The following is a 21,150-nucleotide window of genomic DNA, read 5'->3' on the forward strand; positions in this document are numbered from 1 at the left end:
CCCCTTTCTTCTCTTCTTCCTGTTCTGGCCATGTAACATGTGCCTCCTTGCTCTTTGCCTACTGCTATGATTGTAAGTCTCCTGAGGCCTCCCCAACAATGCTCCCTGTACAGCATATGGAACTGTGAGCAAATTAAACCTCTTTTCTTTACAAAGAGTATTTCTTTATAGCAGTGTGACAATAGACAAATGTAATATTTCATGCCAATGGAAAGGCAAAATGAGCAGGAGTAGCTATTAGATAAAATAGGCCTTAAGTCAGAAAGCATTAAAAAAGACAAAGAAGGTCATTAAAGAGATGATTTTAGCAGGAGTACATAATACTTGTAAATATATATGCACCCAGCACTGGAACACACAACAAAAAAGGCAAATATTATTATATCTGAAAAGAGTGATAGATTGTAGCACAGAAATATTTGGGGACTTCAACACTTTATTCATAGCATCAGTCAGTTCATTTAGAAAGAAAGTCAACATGGAAACATCAGTTGAAACTACACTATACTATAGACCAAATGGACCAAACATTTCCTTCAATAGCTGCAGAAAACACATTCTTCCCATCAGCACATGAAACATTCTCCAGGATAGATGATATATTACACCATTACCCAACTTTCAAATAATTTGGAAAATCCGAAATAATATCAAGTACCTTTTCTGCCCAGAATGAAATAAAAGTAGACATTAGTAACAAGGGAAACCTAAGAAAGTGTGTAAATACATAGAAACTAAACAACATGCTCCTGAATGACAAATGGGTCAATAAAAAAATTAAGAAGAAAATTTTTAAAAAATTGAAACACATTAAAATAGAAAGACAACACACAAAATCTTACGGGATATAGAAAAAGCAGTACTAAGAGGGAAATTTATACCAATGAACACATAAAACAGAAAATAGAAAGATTTCAAATAAGATAACAATATGTCTCAATTACCTAGAATGAACTAAATTCAACATCACTAGAAGGAAATAAATAATAAAGATAAGACAGATATCTCCCAAATGGAGACTAGAAAAAATACAAAAGATCAATTAAATGAAAAGTTGGTTCCTTGAAAAGATAAATACAATTGGCAAACCATTATCTAGTGTAATATTTCATTCTTGCATTGGCACAACGACATACCTCAGACTGGGTAATTTATACAGAAAAGAGGTTTAATTGGCTTATAGTTCTGTAGGCTGAGGCCTGATGCTGGTGTCTGCTTGGGTACTCGAGAGGTGCAGGAAACTTACAACGATGGCAGAGGGTAAAAGGGAAGCTGGCACACACATGGTGGCAACAGGAACAAGAAAGAGAGAGTGAGGGGGAAGGTGGCACACACTTTTAAATGGCCAGATCTCATGAGAACTCACTGTCTTGAGGACCGTGCCAACAGGGATATTGCTAAACCATTCATGACAAATCCACCCCCATGATCCAATCACCTTCCAGCAGGCTCCACCTCCAACGCTGGAAATTACAACTGGACAAGAGATTTGGTGGGATCACAGATCCAAATCATATCAGGTAAGATAACTACAAAAAAGAGGAGCCGAATAAACAAAAACAGAAAAAACAGAGACATTACATCTGATAACACAGAAATACAAAGGATCATTGGTAACTATTATGAACAACTATATGCAAACAAATTAGAAAACAAAGAAGAAATAGATAAGTTCCTAGATACATGAAAACTACCAAAATTGAGCTCAGAAGAAATAGAATATCTGAACAGAGCAGTAATGAGTAAAAGATTAAATTGGCAATATAAGGTCTCCCATCAAAAAAAGCCAAGAAATGGATGGGTTCATTGCTGAATTTTACTAAGCTTTTAAATAAGAACTAACATCAATTCTTTTCAAACTATTTCAAAAAGTCAAATGGGAGAAAATTCTAAGTGTATTCTAGGAAGCCAGCATTATTCTGATGACACAACCAGAGAAGCGCACAAGAGAAGAAGACAACTGCAGGCAAAAATTCCTTATGAACACAGATGCAAAAATCCTCCACAAAATACTAGCAAACCAAATCCAACAGCACAATAAAAAATGTATACACTGTGATTAATAGGGACATATCCTAGGGAGCCAAGATGGTTCATAATATGAAAATCAAAAAAATGAGCTACATTACATCAGCAGAATGAAAGACAAAACCATTACAATCATCTTAACAGACACAGAAAAAGTGTTTGATAAAATTTAACATCTTTCTATGATAAACACTCTCAACAAATTAGGTATAGAAGAAATCTTCCTCAACACAGTAAAGGCCATATATGAAAAACTCACAGCTAATATCACACTGAATGTGAACAAGCTGAAAGACTCTAAGAACTGGAATAAGAAGAGGATGCCCATTTTTTACCACTCGTTCCACATAGTACTGGAACTATGTTGCCGGAGCAACTAGGCAAGAGAAAAAAAATAAAGGGCATCCAGATTGGAAAGGAGGAAGTTAAATTGTTCCTGTTTGCAAATGACTTGATTTATTTATAGAAAATCCTAAAGATTCCAGCAGAAAACTCTTACAATTGATAAACAAATTCAGTGAACTGGCAGGATACAAAATCAGCTTACAAAAATACGTAGTATTTCTGTACACGAATAACAAATTATCTGAAAAACAAATCAAAAGAAGCAATCCCATTCACAAGAACTACAAAAAAATCTAACAGTAAATTTAACCAAAGAGGTAAAAGATCACTACCATGAAAACCGCAAAGTAGTGATGAAAAAATAGAATTGGGGAGGACACACATAAATTGGGAAGACATCCTATATTCATAGATTGGAAGAATTAATTTGTTAAAATAAGCATACTACCCAAATTTATCTATTTGAAAGCTACCGCTTTCAAATTACCAATGCCATTTTTGTCACAGAAATAGAAAAAGAATCCTAAAATTTTTATGGAACCACATAAGTCTCCAAATAGCCAAAGCAATCTTAAGCTCTGCTCCCCGCCAAAAAATACAAAGCTGGAAGGAGGGATCACAATACTTGACTTCAAAATATACCAGAAAGCTATTTTAACTGGAAGAGTATAAGACTGGCATAAAAACAGATAATAGACCAATGGAACAGAACAGACAGCCCAAAAACAAATCCGTATATATGGAACCAACTGATTATCAACGAATGCTCAAAAAACAAACACTGGGGAAAAGCCTGTCTCTTCAATAAATGGTGGTGGGAAAATTGGATATTCATATGCAGAATAATTAAACTAGAAACCTTCTCTCCCTGTATATAAAAGTGAACCCGAAATGCATTGGTTATTTAAATGTAAATAATTAAAACTGAATTATTTACACTTAAATATGTAGCTATGAAACTAAGAGAAGAAAGCAGGGGACATGCTTCAGGACATTGGTCTGAGCAAATATTTTACGCATAAGACCTTGAAAGCACAGACAACAAAGAAAAAAATAGATAAATGGGGATATATAAAACTAAAAAGCTTTCACACAGAGAAGGAAACAACAGAATATAAAGACAACCTGCAAAATGAGAGAAAACATTTACAAACCTTTGATCCAACATGGATTCATATTTAGAGCATACAAGGAACTCAAACTACTCAGCAGCAAAAACAAAATAATTTCATTAAAAATTGGGCAATTGATCTGAATAGACATTTCTTAACCCATTAATGCCAGAAGTTACAATTTTGTGTGTGTGTGAAAAATTAGACCTTGGCGATGACCTTGAGCAGTAGGATATAAATAACTCCCGCTAGCTTAGCGTTCCAATAATGAAACACTAGGCATTAAGAGAAGATTTAGAAATGACCATTGAGTATATAAGGAAATGCTCAGCTTCACTAATCATCAGGGAAATGCAAATAAAAACGACAATAAGATCATCTCACCCCAGGTAAAATGGCTATTACCAAAAAGATTAAAAAGTAACAAATACTAGTGCGGTGTGGAGAAAAGGAACTCTTACACACTGTTGGTAAGAACATAAATTAGGTCAGCTATTATGAAAACCATGTGGAGGGTCCTCAAAATGTTAAAAAGATAACTCCCACGTGGTTCATCAGTCTCACTACTCAGTATATACCCAAAGCAAATGAAACAAGTACATCAAACAGATATGTGCAGTCTCATGTTTATTGCAGCACTACTCCCAACAGCCAGGATTTGAAAGCAGCCTGTGTCCATCAAGAAATGAATGGATAAAGAAAATGTAGTATACAAACACGATGGAAATTCTTAAGCCATAAGAAAATAATGAAATTCCGTCATTTTTGGTAATATAGGTAAGTCTGGAGGACATGTTAAGTGGAATAAGCCGGGAACAGAAAAGACAAATACTGCATTTTCTTACTTACGTGTGGAATCTAAATAGTTAATCTCACAGGAGTAGAACATAGACCAGTGGTTACCAGAGGCTGGAAAGGGGACTGGGGGATAGGGAGAGTTGGCTTAACAGGTATAAAATTAGAGCTAGATAAGATAAATAATTTCTAGTGTTCTATAGCATTGTAGGGTAAGTATAATTAATAATTTGTTGTATATTTTCAAATAGCTAGAAGAGAGGATTTTTATTCCCAAAACAAAGAAATAATAAATGTTTGAGGTGATGGATACAATAATTACCCTGATTTGATCATTGTACATTGTATACTTGTATTGAAATGTCACTCTGTACCACACAAATATGTACAGTTATATATGAATTAAGAAGAATAAAATGTGTGGTTGCAGAAGCTGGATTCATCTATTACTCTATAATGGATAGCTTTCTACTTAGATCAAACCACATTTTTGTACTTTTGATCATTTCCTTCATTTTTTTCTTGTAGAAAAAGTGATAGCAATTTATATGAAGAGGAATAACTTTAGAGTTGATTGGTGCCAGTTGTAGATCACTAATCAGCTGCTTCAAATAGGAAACCAGTTCAGTCTAATGTTTAATTTTTTCCATCCAGTTTATGAAATCAAAGTAAAACTGTTGAAATGTATCCTCCTGAAGGTTAAATATAAAAAATTCTGAGTATTATTCTATAATAAATTTAAAATGTCAACACTGAAGAGAAACGATTAATTTTCTGGTGACATTATGAATACAAATGTTGATAAAAACGGTTTTCTAAAGTTGGAGATCTGCTTGCATTTGGATGTGGTGCACACATCATTCATAATTACATTCATACTGTCAGAAAGCAAAATGTGTTTATCGCAAAAAATTATAATTGCCAAAATTTGTAAATGCTTGTTCGTAGGTACAGAATACTAAATTACAAAATCTTATGATAATGCTGATGTTGAATATAAAAAATACTTCAGAATGGCATTATATGTTTTCCCTCTTTGTTGCTTGTCATCAATCTGATGCTGAAAAAAGTCTGAGCCTTTGATATCTATTTTGTAAACCAATGTAAGTTTTTTATCACACTGAACTCTTTATAAACAAATACTCTAAATTTTGGCTGTACATTGTTCACAACTAGTTGGAATTTGTTTGTTCTCTTTTGTTTATCAAGGTAATATGTATATTAATTTTAAGTGTCCAGATTGGTGAATTTTGGTAATTGTGTGAAATCATTTAGCCACCGTGATTGAAGTAGAGCAATTCATCACCACAAAATGCTTCCTCATACTTGTATGTATTCCATAATCTTTCTTCACCCTCACTCCAGGCAACCTTTGGTTTGCTGTTGGTCATAGTTTTACGTGTTATAGAATTTCATATAAGTGGACTTATAGAGTATGGAGTCTTTTATGATTGACTTATTTCTCTTAATGTTTTTGAGATGAATCTGTGTTACTGTCTATATTGTCTATATTAATATTTCTTGTCTTTTTATTGCTGAGTATTCCACAGTATGAATTTACCACACTTTGTTTATTCATTTAATAGTGATGGCCACTTGTGTTGTTGCCAGTGGGGCTAATATGAATAATGCTACTATGAACATTTATATACTTGTTTTTTGTTGGAATGTATATTTTCAATTCTCTTGGGTAAATACCTGGAAGGAGAATTTCTGGATTATATAGTAATGAATCTAACTGTATAATGTAATGTCGCACGCATCACTAGTTACTGTACCATTTTGCATTCCTACAAGCAATGTGTATGAGTTCCGAATGCATCAAATCCTTGTCAACACTTGGTAGTGTCAGTCTTTATGACTTTATCTATTCTAGTATGTAGTGATATCTCACTGTGATTTTAATTGACATTTTTCTGCTAATAAAGTTGAACACCTTTTGCTAAAACTTCTAAAAAATGATAAAATTTCTCATCCACATTAAAATAACATTTAAACCTAAGTGCTAAGTGAACTTTTTAAAATATAAGCAAAAAAAAAAGAAAAAAAAAGAAAAGAAAAGAAAACAAGAAAAAAGTTTGAAAATAAGTATCTGAAAATAGGGAAAATAAATCATAATAACCTAAAAAAATGTAAAAGAACGGGTATAATGAAGAGGAGAAATTACTATAATAGACCAGGCTGGGAAACATAGTGAGACCCCATCTCTCCAGAAAAAGATAAAATTAGCCAGGTGTGGTGGTGTGCACCTGTCACAGCTACTCCAGGAGGCTGAGTTGGGAGGATCATTTGAGCCTCGGAGATTGAGGCTGTGGTGAGTCATGATCATGCCACTGCACTCAAGCCTGGATGGCAGAGCAAGACCCTGTCTCAAAAAAAAAAAAAAAAAAAAAAAAGAAGAAAGAAACAGAGGAAATAATATAATAATATAGAAAGTGGTACCTCTAAAAACATGAAAAGAATAATGCAAGAGACCAACTTTAGGAAGATGTAACAAGTTAAAATGAAAGAGAAAAATAACACAGTGAAGTGACAGGAAGACTGACACACGCAGGAAGTGAAAATAATGATATGAGCGCTACATGCATTACACTTTAAATTTTAAAAATGAGAAAATTTCTAAAATATTATAATTAAAAATTACTCAAATTACCCAGAATTAAGACAACATGATTAGACCAGTAAACATAAGAAATTTGATTGCTACTCAAGTCTCATCACTCTTAAGACAGGAGACCTAGATAATTTACAGGAAAGTTTAACCGAAACATGAAGAAAACATAATATATCATTTAAAATCTCTTATAGAAATTAGAAAAAGCAATAATTCTCCCTAACTCAATTTCTATAGCTAGTATATTATCAATATCAAAAACCACACAATTAAAATTCAATTAAGATGAGCACTATAAGGCAGCAATATCTTTGCTTATTTATATGAAAATTCTAACTATGTGAGATGATGGAAATGCTAGTTGGCTTGATTGCCTGTGATGATCATTTCACAATATATATGTATACAAATCTATCAAGTTGTATACCTTAATTTACACATTTTTTGTCAAATATACCTCAATAAAGCTGCAAAAATCTAAGTAAATTATGAATGAACTTAATATAACATTTAACCCAATACAATGATTATTGTGGTTTATTATAGCCATGCAAGTTTGTTTTAGTGTTAGATAGTCATAATAGCATCAGGCTAAAGTAGAAAAACAAAATGATTATCTCTGCAGGGCCATAAAAAAGTATTTCATGAATGCGTATTTAAGAAAATTTGGCTAAGTAGAACAGAATGAAATGCCATTGAATTGATTTTAAAATCTTAGCGAACTAGTAACAGAATGAAACTCCATTAGTAAGTTTCTCTCAAAATCCTACAGCAAGCAATGTGCCCATTTATGAAAATTATTCAAATCTTTAGACATAAAGTCAAAGGTGGCTATAAGTGTGTATTAGTTCATTCTCACACTGCTATAAAGACACATGTGAGACTGGGTAATCTATGAAGAAAAAAGGTTTGACTCACAGTTCCACAGGCTGTACAGGAAGCACGGCTACCGAGGCCTTAGGAAATTTATAATTATGGCAGAAGGCGAAGGAAAAACAGTCACTGTCTTCACATGGCCAGTGGGGGACAGACAGTGATGCGGGAAGTACTCCACACTTTTAAACAACCAGATCTCGTGAGAACCCACTATCATGAGAACAGCAAGGAGGAAATCTGCCCCCATGATCAAATCACCTCCCAGTAGTTCCCTCCCCCAACATTGGGAATTACAATTTGACATGAGATTTGGGTGGGGACACAAAGCCAAACTATATCAAAGTCCTTTCAATTCCATTGGCTTATTCAAGGACTATTTTATTATTAAGAAGAATGCACCTATATTGTCTTGTTTTCCACTAACTGATTAGAGCTCAGAGACTGAAATTATGTGTGCACTCATAGATTACTGTCTATAGAAAAGGCCATCCCCAAAGTAAAAATCTTCTGCTGGTAGGGCATAGGGCATTGACTAGCTTTGTTTCTACATGTAAATTCATTTTAGGCTTACTTCATTTTATATATATATATATATATATATATATGAATTTACTTATGATCCTAACCTACCATTTGGCAGGTTTTGTCACTGATTAATGAATTGAATAAAATGTTGACACATGTTCTTTTACATTTGTGTAGAAGCCATGGTTTTAATTTTAGAAAATTGTACCTTATCAGTACTTAAAATAGAAACTTTAGAGACATTTACACTTAAGTTGAGAATAGCACATACATGCTAGCTTCACCTTTATTATACAAGATTAAACTGTAAATTTATAGTTCTGTTCATTTATAAACATTTATATAAAATAAATAAATGAACAATTAGATAAAAGATTTGATATACAGGTGTTCATTTTGAAATATACTGGGCCCACTATCCTCCTGGCACAAATAAAAACATTCCATTAGTCCAACGGCTATTTATTATGTCTTCATAATATGCAAACCACAACCATGGAGTTTCATCCAAAGTGTATTCCTCTATTAGCAGTGACTTTAAAATGGAATAGCTTACGTATTTTATAATATCTTGAAACCATGGATAATTTAAGTTGAAAAAATTTACATCTTTAATAGAAATTTTGTCATCACTTAATTCATTTTACAGATATTTGTCAAACGGTCTTTCTGCATCAGGCACTTGCTATTAGGATGATGGCCAACTGTAAGTACCTCCTTTAAAAGGAACATAGTCTGATCCAGCTGGTTGTTTAGGGAAAGCTGACAGATTGATTACAACTACAAGAAGATTTGAAAACCACTAAGTGTCTGTGTTCCAACAACTTGACTTCTAATGCTTCTTATTCAAAAAAAATGGTAAAACCACCAACACAAATGCCCATACCTGAAACCTAGAGCTCATGTTGACATTCCCTTCATGATCCTTTCAAGACATCAACATTTCCCACATTTTACCACTTCTCTATCAACCTTGTAGAAGGCTCCATCAATTCTAGCCAGGAAAACCAAATGGATTTTCTCAAGAAGCTGAACACACAGCCATTGGAAGATCTTTTAAAAGTAAATTTCTTGTGCTATTATCTAACTGAAATACTAATCCCAATGAAACAAAATAAGCAAAAGAAAAACTCTAGAATGTGTCAATGTGTACAATGGTAATAATAAATTAAAACATCTAGTTTTCTCATAATGATATCTATCTTATTCTGCTCAAGGTGTAGACCATGAACTACTCCTTGTCCTTAAAATATTCATTAATGGTCCAAACTAGACAGGTATACAGAAGTTAAGAGTAATATTTTAGAAATTGTATAGCAATTTGATACTGTTGTGATTATTTCTCTTATTTTACAAAAGCATCTTGCTGGAGAGAGTGAAAAAGATTTTTTTTTAAAACAAAACAGTATTTCACCAAATATATTTTAAGAAGCATAATCTAGCTTATAAAGCTACCAAAATTTTGTTAGACGATAGCAAAAATTGCCAGTTTAATATGTTTTACAAGCTAGACATTCAATAAATATTTATTTTGACTCATATTCTCATATTATATGTAGAAATATTAACAGCCTTGAGTGTTCTATCTTTGGAAATAGTCAGGGAAACACTTCATAACCACCAGTCCAGTAAGAATTCAAAGTATATTGGAGATAGGCTTATATAATCTTACATGTCTTCCAGTTTTACCATTGTACATACCAAACGATAATGTCTAAGCAGTATTTTCATTTATTTTTCTTATATTTCTTTCCAAGTAATAAAATTTGCTTCAATTTATGTACATAACAACTGCATATTTAAGCTTTGGTGGTAGCATACAAATTGGGTTTATTTGCCAAAAAGGGCATATGTGGTTTATCAACATTTCTATGAGTTCTTATTACGATGAACCAATTGTTTTCACCTTTCTAATGAGAACACTCACATGTGAATTTGTTAGGTTAGCTTGATCTGTAACATAGACATCTGTTAACCAGGAACAAAAATCTGTCTGGGTCAGGAACCCAATTATTTTCACACTTTCTTCTTCAGAACTGCCAAACAATGAATATTTTTGATTTCTAATAAGAAAATAGACATTTAACCAATGTTTATTTAGTTTGTAATAAGTTTCACCTTTGCCTTGTTTTCCAGCTTATATCTTCCCATTTCATTCTACTAATTTGAATTGCCATTGTTGCTTCAAGCTTGAATGCATTTACTTTTTCTTACTGTTGGAAAATGAATCCAGCTAGTCCTGGCACTGTGTACTAGGAACGATAATGCAATACATAATCAGGGTATTGCTTTTTATTGCCCCAAAGGGATTTATTTCCTTATTAAAAATTAAAGGTAGCAATACGATGTTTCCTTTTAAGTAAAAATATTTTTATCTCAGATCTCAGTCACACTGAGTACATATGGCCGTTATTTATTATAAATCAGTTACCATATAGTAATTGAAATAAGAGTGAGGTTAAGAAGTCTAAATTCATGTCACACGTTCCAAGGAGAGTCAAATTTTAGATGCAAAGTGAAGATTTTTTATACGGACTTATAATGTATATCTGTGAATTAGTCAAGAAACTTTCATGGCATTCCTTGCGTGCACAGTACTGTGGAAGGCACACTGGAAGGTATAAAGTTACTAAAGGTGTTACCAGCCATTCAATTTGTAAAATGAGAAATATTTTTATTCAAATGAAAATGGATTTTGCAGGGAGTCTCCTAGGTCCATGCACAGAAGATATATGGTATCAGACTCGGTAAAAGAGAGAAATCAAGGTGGGAATGGTTAAGTAACTTTTTGCAGCAGATAAGACTTTGAAGAAAGAGTAAAATTTATAAAGAATTTTTAGTCAAATGAAACATTTGGTATGACTCTGTCAGAAAAAGGAATGTCTAACTTCTAATGGGATAATATCAAGTATCCTTGAGGATATAGATACACATATAGATGTCTGAAGATTTTTTCATTCAACCACCTACTCTTCCTGTATAGACTCTGCATTCCTTAAGTGAAACACAACATAGACAAGTAAAAATATGACAATAAAAGGTACCAAATTTAGCCCTGAAAAGTATCCAACTTAACTTCAAATTTTGATGGTATAATTTGTCCAAACAATAACATACCCTTCTAGCATGTTTGCTAGAAGCTTGCAGCAATGTCTTATTTGATCCACCCCAAATCTTGAGGTTTGATGTTGTTACATATATTTTGAACTTTCCTTCTTATCACTTATTTTATGTAGGTGGGAAGATTATCAGGTTTTTTTCACATGTATGGTGTGAAAAGTGGGCATTGAGAGTAGGTTTTTAAATAGTTTCAAAATACTAAGTATTTTTAAAAACAGCTTTATTAAGATATAATTGACATAAAATCTGCCCATTTAAAGGATATAATTCAATGATAGCAATCCAGCATAATCTAATTTTCAAACATTTTCATTGCCCCTAAAGAAATCCTGTACCCTCTAGCAGTTGCTTTCCCTTTGTGGCTGACCATTCTAGCCCTAAGCCATCACCAGTCTCCTTTCTATATACATAGACTTTTCTGTTCTGAACATTTTATATGAGTGAAATAATATAAGCATGATCTTTTATGACTGACTTGTTTTGCTTAGCATGATATTTTTAAGGTTCATCCATGTCATAGCATGTGTCAGCACTTCATTCCTTGTTATGACTGAATATCTTATGATGTATCCAAGGTGTGGATGCATCACATCTTGTTTATCCTCTTTCATCAGTTAATGAACATTTGGATTGTTTCCACTTTTTGGCTATTATGAATAATGCTGTGGGTTAACCCTGAGGACATTACACTAATTGAAAGAAGCCAGTCACAGAAAGACAAATACTGCATGAGTTCATTTACATGAAGTACTATGACAGTCAAACTCACAAAGGCAGTGTGGAATAGTGGTTGTCAGGGGGTGGAGGAGAGGAAGAAACGGGGAGTTAATAATCAATGGGTATGAAGTTTCAGTTAGCAAGATGAGTAAGCTCTAAAGACCTGCTGTATAATATGGTACCTACAGTCAACAGTAATGTATTATATAATTAAAAATTTAACACGGTATATCTCTTGTTAAATGTTCTTACCAAAGTAAAATATCTTTTAGAAAGAAAACAGGTCCATACAAACACTTTTACATGAATGATCATTACTGCTTAGGTGTTTTTTTTTTTTGTTTTTTGTTTTTTTTTTGATACAATATGCTGAAATAGTGACCGAGTCAATATAAATGGTACTGTAGGGTTGAGGGAAATTTTTAAAGAAAAGGTTAACAGGAAAATCCTTGAATGAATCCAGAGAAATTTTCTTTTGTGTATCCTTGCCTCTGAGAATCTGTTTCTTCAATGAGAAATAATGGTGTAGGGAGCCCACTTAGCGCAGCCAACAGCCTGTCAGTCTCATAATCTTAAATAATGGTGAAAAACAGATAATTTTTTAAATAATTAAATAATATGGAAAACAGATTCTAGAGGATCCACTAACGTATATCACTAAATATTAGCCCAGAGGTTAGACATTTATTTTTCATCTAGAATAATGTTGTGTAACTTTTATAAGTGAAAATATTATTCAATGATTTAGTATGTATTGAGTTATGATGAATAGGATTGTTAGAACTTCTTATCATTTGAAATTAGCAGAAGAGTACTACTTTTTAAAATCTTTCTCACAAAAAATAATATCCAGATGAATATAAGCTCACAGTGTCTACTTTCATTAATAAAATCCATTAAAAAGTCCCTAAATTTTTCATGTTTTTTGTTAGATTTTAAAATTATGAGCATGTAAGAATATTTATCTGTTTCAAATCTTTCCAAGGGTAAGACCAGATAATAAAATTAAAGTTTTCCAAATGTGAGGGAGGTATTGAAACCTGTATATTAATATAATTTACAAAAAGAGTATCAGAGCTAAGGAAAGGGTCTGATAATAGTGGTCTGGTGAGACAAATGTAATGAAATTGGTCAGCTCTCCTAAACTATGGTGCTGGCTCTTTCAGTAAAAAGTACCATTATTTGCTCTGAAATCACAAAATTGTATTTGAATTAACTAACTTAAAAATTGTCTTATTTCTCATGGTTTTGGTTATTGTCTGGATTCCTTCTAACTCTAAATTTTTATAATGTAATGTCATACAGTTCATGTATAAATACTAAGACTAGGTGTAATATTTAATATGCCTAATACATCTATATATGTTGTATAACATGTAGTTTAGTAATTAAAGAATTTAACCACATAATTTTGCTTTGGGTTCTATTTATGAGTTGTTCTGCATGAAATACATTGTGGTTAAAAGAAAGGTAACACGTGCGGATTTGATTATGCCTCATCTGTCAGTAATCAAATGCCTGCATTGGCAATGCCAACATTTTTGAATGACTCCAGGGCACATGTTTCCACAAAACTGAAGACCTGTGTTCCCAATTTGCATCTGATATACCAGTCAGGAACCTAATTATGAGCAGCACACATAGTTTGTGCTTTTATGCTGTAAGTATTGCAATCATCAGGCTAATGAAGGTGAATAAGTACATAAAGAGGGAGACGCATTTTGTTTGTCTTTGGAAATCACTTTATAAGATTTTGGCAGCAGATTTGCCTACCACTTCATTTTTTGGATAATGTTTAACATACTTTACATTTTCTTTCTATTTATTGACATAAGGAGGCCAAGAAGTACTCTGAGAGGCTAAAAGAATCCAAATTTGGATTCAAATTTTGCTACAGAAAATGGGAAGTGGGAAAAATGCAGACAAGTAATTGGAGAAGTGAGAATTTACTCCCTGTGTATTAATATAATGCATGATCTGTCAGAGATTCATCTTCTAGTTTTATAGATGAGCCAAAAATTCTTTCTGAATTCTCATACACTCCTCAGCTTTGCATTCTGCTTGATTTTTCTCCCTGCAAATAATTCAATAATTTTAATATTTAATATAAAGCTTTCAGAATGGTTTCATTGGCATTCCAGTCACTTATGGGCAAGGTATTAGGATAAATATTTCATTCTCCAGAGAGCACTGCATGCAATTGCTGCTGTTAGAAATTTAGTTCCTTTGAAAGCTATCACTTGGTGTTGCAATAATATTTTAGAAATACAGTCTTTTAAATGTGGTCTTCTTTACTGCCAGGCAAACATGGCTCCAAGAGTATTATTTATCAGGGTCATGACTCCAATTAATAGAATTGTGGTTCTTGTCTTTTTTAGAAACTATAATAATATTGCTTTTAATGTTTATAGTATTAATCTTACTTTGTAATATTTTAACACTGTTTTGGCTTATAGCGAAGTTACAGAAAAAATAAACTATATTTGGGGCCTGATGGCTTCAATTCAAGTCTGTTCCCCACTACTTAAAAACTATGTAACTTTTGGTAAGGTATTTGGGTTCTCAGAATGAATGTTAAACTGTTTATCAAATGAGATTAAAATGACCTTTGATAATCTCTTATGACTATAAACTAGATCACAATAGATAATGAATGTGCAATTCTAATCAAACTTATAAGCTATATTACAAATTTAACTTCACTTCCAATTAACACATACGAAGTTTACAGAATGTGTAATAATAGTTATAATTAAATCCATAGTTCCCACTCTCAAGTAACGTGTTCATTAGAATTCATCGATCATATTATATAATCTTGATAATTTTATAGATGCTTTAGGGGATTCAATATAAAACACCCATATTTGTGCAAGTGCATGAGTGTATGTGTGCACACAACACACACGCTCTACAACTGCCACAAGAAATTTACAATCCAGCTGCAAGTGAAAAATCAACATTCACATAAGATCTCTACAGAATCCCATAATTTAAATGTTAACTTGTGTAGTGCACCTAGATCATATGCAGTATGAAATTTCAAGGTAGAGGAAAGTTCTATGGGTAGTAGTGTCTCAGGTAATTTTATAGAAATTTTTGAGTAATAGAGTAGTTTAGGTTTGTAATTCAACCTGGGCCTTTCTGTACATACCTCCCACCAATCTCTTCCTTGTTTTCTGATCTCCAAACCCTGGAATCTCAAGGTTACTCTTGCCTGGGGCACCTTCTGTCTGCCTCAACCACTCTTTCTCAAGAGAGTCACATTACTCACTTCCTCACATTATGCAGGTCTCTGTTCCTATGCCTGTTGTGTACAAGACCTTTCTATACCACCTTAAATAAAATATCTGCTCCGTCCTGACCAAGCCCACTCTCTGGTTTTTACCCTACACTGTCTTGGCACTGATCACTCAGTATGTGCTACATACTCCAGGCATTCGAGGTAGTGCTATGACCTGCAGATCAAGTTACTGAGACACAGAATAATTAAGTGAACTCTCAAGGTGACATATTTGACATCAGAGCCAAAATTTGAGCCCCTTCAGACAGATTCCAGATTTTTATAATTTATCCAGCTTTTCTAGCTGATGTTAATGGACACAGGCCTTGCCGGACATGCTCTCATCCACAGACAGACATTTCCAATTTCCCATTACATTTATGTAAGTGAAATAGCTTCTGAGTTAACAATTCTAATTCTTTAAAACTAATGTTTGGGAAGAATACCTCCAAATTTTATCTCACATTTCAACTTTTATGTGCCTCCCTGTATTAAATTGCTCAAACCTGTCACTTCAGAAGAGTAAGAAGAAAAATGTGACACTTGAAAGAAGGAACTGTGGAGCCAGCAGCAAGGGTGAAAAGTTTTGCTGTTCAGCTTAGGGAGGGCATCTTGGGAAATTCATCTTCTTTCTGGGCCTAAATTTCATCTGTGAAAGAATATCTAGTCCACTGAATTGTCATGAGGGTATGGTAAACTGATACATTTAATTACTTAGTCTGGTTTTTCATAAGCACTATATACTTGCTGGTGTAAAAATAAGAGTACATTGCTTCGTATCGTATATATTTTACATATTTTAAAAATTATGTTTATTTGGGGATAATTTTAGATTTACATAAAAGTGGCAAAAATAGTAAAGAGATTCTCTGTGTATCCATGACCCAGTTTCCCTTAGTGTTAACATCTCACATAAAAACATGGTTCTTTTACTGGAGATTGGCAGTTAGAGATCAATATCTGTGTGTCATCGCTCTGGTTTCTTTCGAAGTTTCATTTCATCTAGGCTTTCTCCCAGTGGACCAAGTTAGAAAATACATGTATATATACTAATATCTATATGCAGCATATCTATGTTGATTTCTATATTTATCTGTATGCATATATGTATATCTATCTATCCACCTCATCTATCCATTTCAAAATTAATGTTAGTTCACACCAATATCTCTTAATCTAAATATAAGTTTTAAAACAGACACTATCTATATACTTCTGTGACTTTAATAGAAGTGAAATTAATATTTTCATTTAAAATATTATTTGCTCTAAATTTTGCTGCTTTGTATAATTGACTATGTGGTTTTTAAAATCTCTCTGCACTATGAACAATATAAAATCTCCCTGCATTATGAACAATAGTATGAGGTTTCCTACAAGAAATAAAAATAAAATTACCACAGGATTAAAAAATCCCCACTACTGCATATATATCCAAAGAAATGAAATCGGCATGTCAAAGAAATATCTCCACTCCCACGTTATTGCAGCTCTATTCACAATAGTCAAGGTGTAAAATCAGTTTAAGTATTCATCAGTGGATGAATAGATAAAAAGAAATGTGGTGTGTATACACAATGTAATACAATTCAGCCATAAAAAAGAATAAAATCCTGTTATTTATGTGACCTGAATGAACCTAGAGGACATTATGTTAAGTGAAATAAACCAAGCACAGAAGGACAAATACCACTCATAGGTAGAATCTGAAAAAGCTGATCTTATGGAAATAGGCTGGGGAAGGTGTGGGAGGGTGAGATTATGGTGAGAGGTTGGTTAATGGTACAAAGTTATAGTTAGGTAGAAGGAATATGTTCCGCTGTTCTATTGCACAGTAGGGTGATTATAATTAACAATAATACATTGTATATTTCAAAAGATCTAGAAGAGAGAATTTGGAATGTTCTCACCTAAGAGACAGGTGTTTGAGGTGATGGATATGCTAATTATCCTGATTTGATTATTATATAATATACACATATATTGAAACATCACACTGTGTCCCATAAATATCAACAAATATGCAATTAATAACAATAAAATTTTTTAAATCCAAACTTAATTAAAATAATGCCTTTCTCACTTTTTTTTTTTTTTTTTTGAGACAGGGTCCCTCTGTCACCCAGGCTGGAGTCCAGTGGTGCAATCTTGGCTCACTACAACCCTAAACTCCTGGGCTCAAGCAAAAAATCCTCGCACTTCAGCCTCCCAAGTAAGCAGGGTTACAAGAACATGCCACCATGACTGGATAATTTGAAAATGTTTCTTATTTATTTTATTTTGTTTTGTAGAGACAGGGTTTAGCTATGTTGACCAGGTTGGTCTCAAACTCCTGACCTAAAGGGATCCTCCCACCTTGGCCTCCCAAAGTGCTAGGATTACAGGGGTGACACACCACACATGGCCACTTTAATCATTTTTAATAGCAACATTTGTTTACAAAGTAAGTTGGAAAGTGCTATACTAAAATATATATGCTGAATAAAAATACACATTTACAGACATACATATACATATACATTGACTCTTGACAACATGGATGTCAATTCTGTATGTCTATTTATTTAACTTTCATTTTAAGTTCAGGGGTACATGTGCAGGTTTGTTATACAGGTAAACTCATGGATTAGGGGTATTAAGATTAGCATCCATTAGTTATTTTTCCTGATCCTCCCCCACCTTCCACCCTCCATCCTCCACCCTCCAATAGACGCCTCTAATAGAAAGCCACTGTGTGTTGCTCCTCTCTATGTGTCCATGTGTTCTCATCATTTAGCTCGCACTTATAAGTGAGAAGATGCAATATTTGGTTTTCTGTTCCTGTGTCAGTTTGCTAAGAATGATGGCCTCCAGCTCCATCTGTGTTCCTACAAAGGACATGATCGTGTTCTTTTTATGGCTGCATAGTATTCCATGGTATGTATGTACCACATTTTATTTATCCAGTCTACCATTGATGGACATGTAGATTGATTCCATGTCTTTGCTATTGTGAATAGTGCTGCAGTGAACATATGCATGCATGTGTCTTTATGATAGAATGATTTATATTTCTTTGGGTATCTACTAAGGAATGAAATTGCTAGGTCGAATGGTAGTTTTGTCTTTAGGTCTTCGAGGAATTGCCACACTGTTTTCCACAGTGGTTGAACTGACTGACACTCCCACCAACAGTATATAAATGTTCCTTTTTCCCCACAACCTCTCCAGCAGTGGCAGGACAGAGTGCACACATTACACGTGTGCTGGTGGGGCAAGGAAGGCAAAGCCTACCCAGCTGCTAGCAAAAAGATGTGGGAGGTTGCTGTAGGCCTGGGTGAAGCTACAGTGTGAGGAGGAAGTGGATGGGCTAACGTATGGCTGTGGGGGCTGCCCTGCTACAGCTCTATGCTGGTCAGGCACGTCTGCCAGTATAGGGGTTATGATTCAGTCCCCCAGGGCATCTGAGACTACCGTGGAAGCAAGCAGAAACAGGTTAAGGACCCAGGAGAGGCCAGCAGACCAAGGAATGCTCAGATCAGACCAGCCCTGTCTGATGGGCAAGACTGCCCTGCAGAGTTTAGGTCTGATAGTTCCCCTAGGGCTAAAGTCTCCTGTGGGAGCAAGTTGAGGCTAGGGAGATAAGCTTCCCTGGTTGTGCTCTGCTATAGAGACTCCCACAACAAACACTTTTTGCTTTGCCTCAGCCAGTGTGCTACCATCACCACTTCTCTAAGGACCTCTCCCTGCCAACTGGAGTGTCTGTGGTGGTTGAGGGGTCTCCTTCAGCCAGGATTCCAGAGGCTAGTGTCAGGAGCCAGTTGCTCCTTGCCAGTTCAACTCACAGGTTCACCAGGAGTCACTGGAAGCAAGGAAGGAGTCGGGATGTGGATAGCCCTGGGCAGGGTTCCCGCCTTCCTCCCTCTTCAGCCCAGCTTCTGTGTCTTTCCTCCATCAGCTCTCAGTGCCTTCCCTCTGAAGTTCTTTTATAAGTGTACCAGCCATCTTGATCTGTTATTGGCAGCTATTCCACCTAATATGTATATTTTTAATTGAGCCTCCAAGAGGGTGCAAAACCAGATATAGGAGACCCTGATTCAGTCCCCTGTATAGATGAGGAAGCTGAGGTTGTGTGTCCATTTACATGCAGGTTTTTTTCTGCCTCTGCCACCCCTGAGACAGCAAGACAAACTCTCCTTTTCTTCCACCTTCTCAGCCTACTCAGTGTGAAGATGATGAGGGTGAAGACCTTTATAATGGATCACCTCCACTTGATGAATAGTAAATATATTTTCTCTTCTGATTTTCTTAACATTTGAAAAATCTGGCTTACTGTATTATAGGAATACACTATATAATAGAGATAGCATACAAAATAAGTGTTGATCAATTTCATTAAAGCTTTTGGCCAACAGTAGGCTATTAGTAGTTATGTTTTTGGTCACTCAAAATTTATATGCAAATTTTCAACTGCATGGCTGGAGGGGGTGGTCAATGCCTCTAACCTCTACATCTTTCTGTAATAAAGAATACAGAATGTCAAATATTGGTCTGATTTTCTTTCATGGATCATGAGTATTATAAGACTCTTTCATAAGAAGGTCATGAGCATGATAAACTTATTTTGGTGTAGCATACAAATTACTTAGAAAACTGAGCCCTTTTTAGAAAACTTTCATTACTTTACTGACATTAATAGTACTGAGAATACTGGGGCCCTAACATCCATATCCCCAGTTTGAAGCAATGGCTCCATACAGGGAGAGATAAGACAAGAAGACCTCAGGCTCTTGCCCACCTTTCACTAAACCAAGAATATCCCTCAGAGAGAAGCTTGCCATTGTCTGTGGTTTAGAGATTTTGCCTGGGGGGAGAAGGAAACCGTAAAACAGATAGTTCTTAATCTTTTCCCCAAAGAACTGACTTTATTTCCAACAAATCTTGGGGAAGTTCAACCTTAATGTACTCTCAAAAATAATGAAATTTGTGGGATAAGATAAATAGGAAGAGATTCCAGATACAGGCTAAACTGTAGGCTGGTTAGATTACAGAGGAGAAATAAAACACCATGGAGGAGCCCTCCAGATGTCAGAAAAAAATGTCAAACACTGACCTCAGAATGTTTTTTTTCAAAGGAGTCAGACTTTGAATAGATTACTTTGTAGAGCAATTTGTGCCCCAGGACATTTTTGAAAACAATGGAGCAATCAGCTGGCAATTAGTAAAGTTTAATAGCTGGATGTGTCAGAGAAAGTGGAAGAAAGCCTTACAAAAGCCACTGTCATGCAAGGTGACTGCGAGTGTTCCCAAAGCTGAGTTTCCCTGAGGAGTAACATTAAAAGCTTAACAATTTGAGGGAAAAATGGACTTCACCAAAATAATTAGGCCAGTCACTAAACACATAAACAAGCCAATAATGATAACATACATTGAGTGAAAGCAGAAGTAACCAGAGTTGCCATATTATCAAAGATAGCCAGTTTCCAACAGAAATTTTGAGGCATGCAAAAACACCGGAAAGCATGACTTACTCACTAGAAAAAAGCAAGCAACAGAAACAGCCTGTCAAGGCGACCAGATGTCATATGTATCAGAAAAAGAATTTAAAGGGGCTATTATAATCATGTTCACAAAATTAAAAAAGAAAACTATTATTAAAGAAAGTTCTGATTACAATGATTCATGAATTTGATAATATTAATAAAGAGACAAATGTTGTAAAACAGAACTAAAAGGAAATTTTACAGTTAAAAAGT

The 21,150-nt window shown here is 34.3% G+C and overlaps 2 annotated features.

Moving 5' to 3' along the window:
- Window positions 19,054-19,554: an enhancer, noted in NCBI's record as "H3K27ac hESC enhancer chr5:12320809-12321309 (GRCh37/hg19 assembly coordinates)". NCBI's record gives its function as "activates a minimal SCP1, AML or CMV promoter by ChIP-STARR-seq in primed H9 embryonic stem cells {active_cell/tissue: H9 hESC(primed)}" and the evidence as "EXISTENCE:reporter gene assay evidence [ECO:0000049][PMID:30033119]".
- Window positions 20,151-21,010: an enhancer, noted in NCBI's record as "OCT4-NANOG hESC enhancer chr5:12321906-12322765 (GRCh37/hg19 assembly coordinates)". NCBI's record gives its function as "activates a minimal SCP1, AML or CMV promoter by ChIP-STARR-seq in primed H9 embryonic stem cells {active_cell/tissue: H9 hESC(primed)}" and the evidence as "EXISTENCE:reporter gene assay evidence [ECO:0000049][PMID:30033119]".

This window comes from Homo sapiens, chromosome 5, assembly GCF_000001405.40.
Source record: "Homo sapiens chromosome 5, GRCh38.p14 Primary Assembly".
In the NCBI taxonomy this organism is placed as follows: domain Eukaryota; kingdom Metazoa; phylum Chordata; class Mammalia; order Primates; family Hominidae; genus Homo; species Homo sapiens.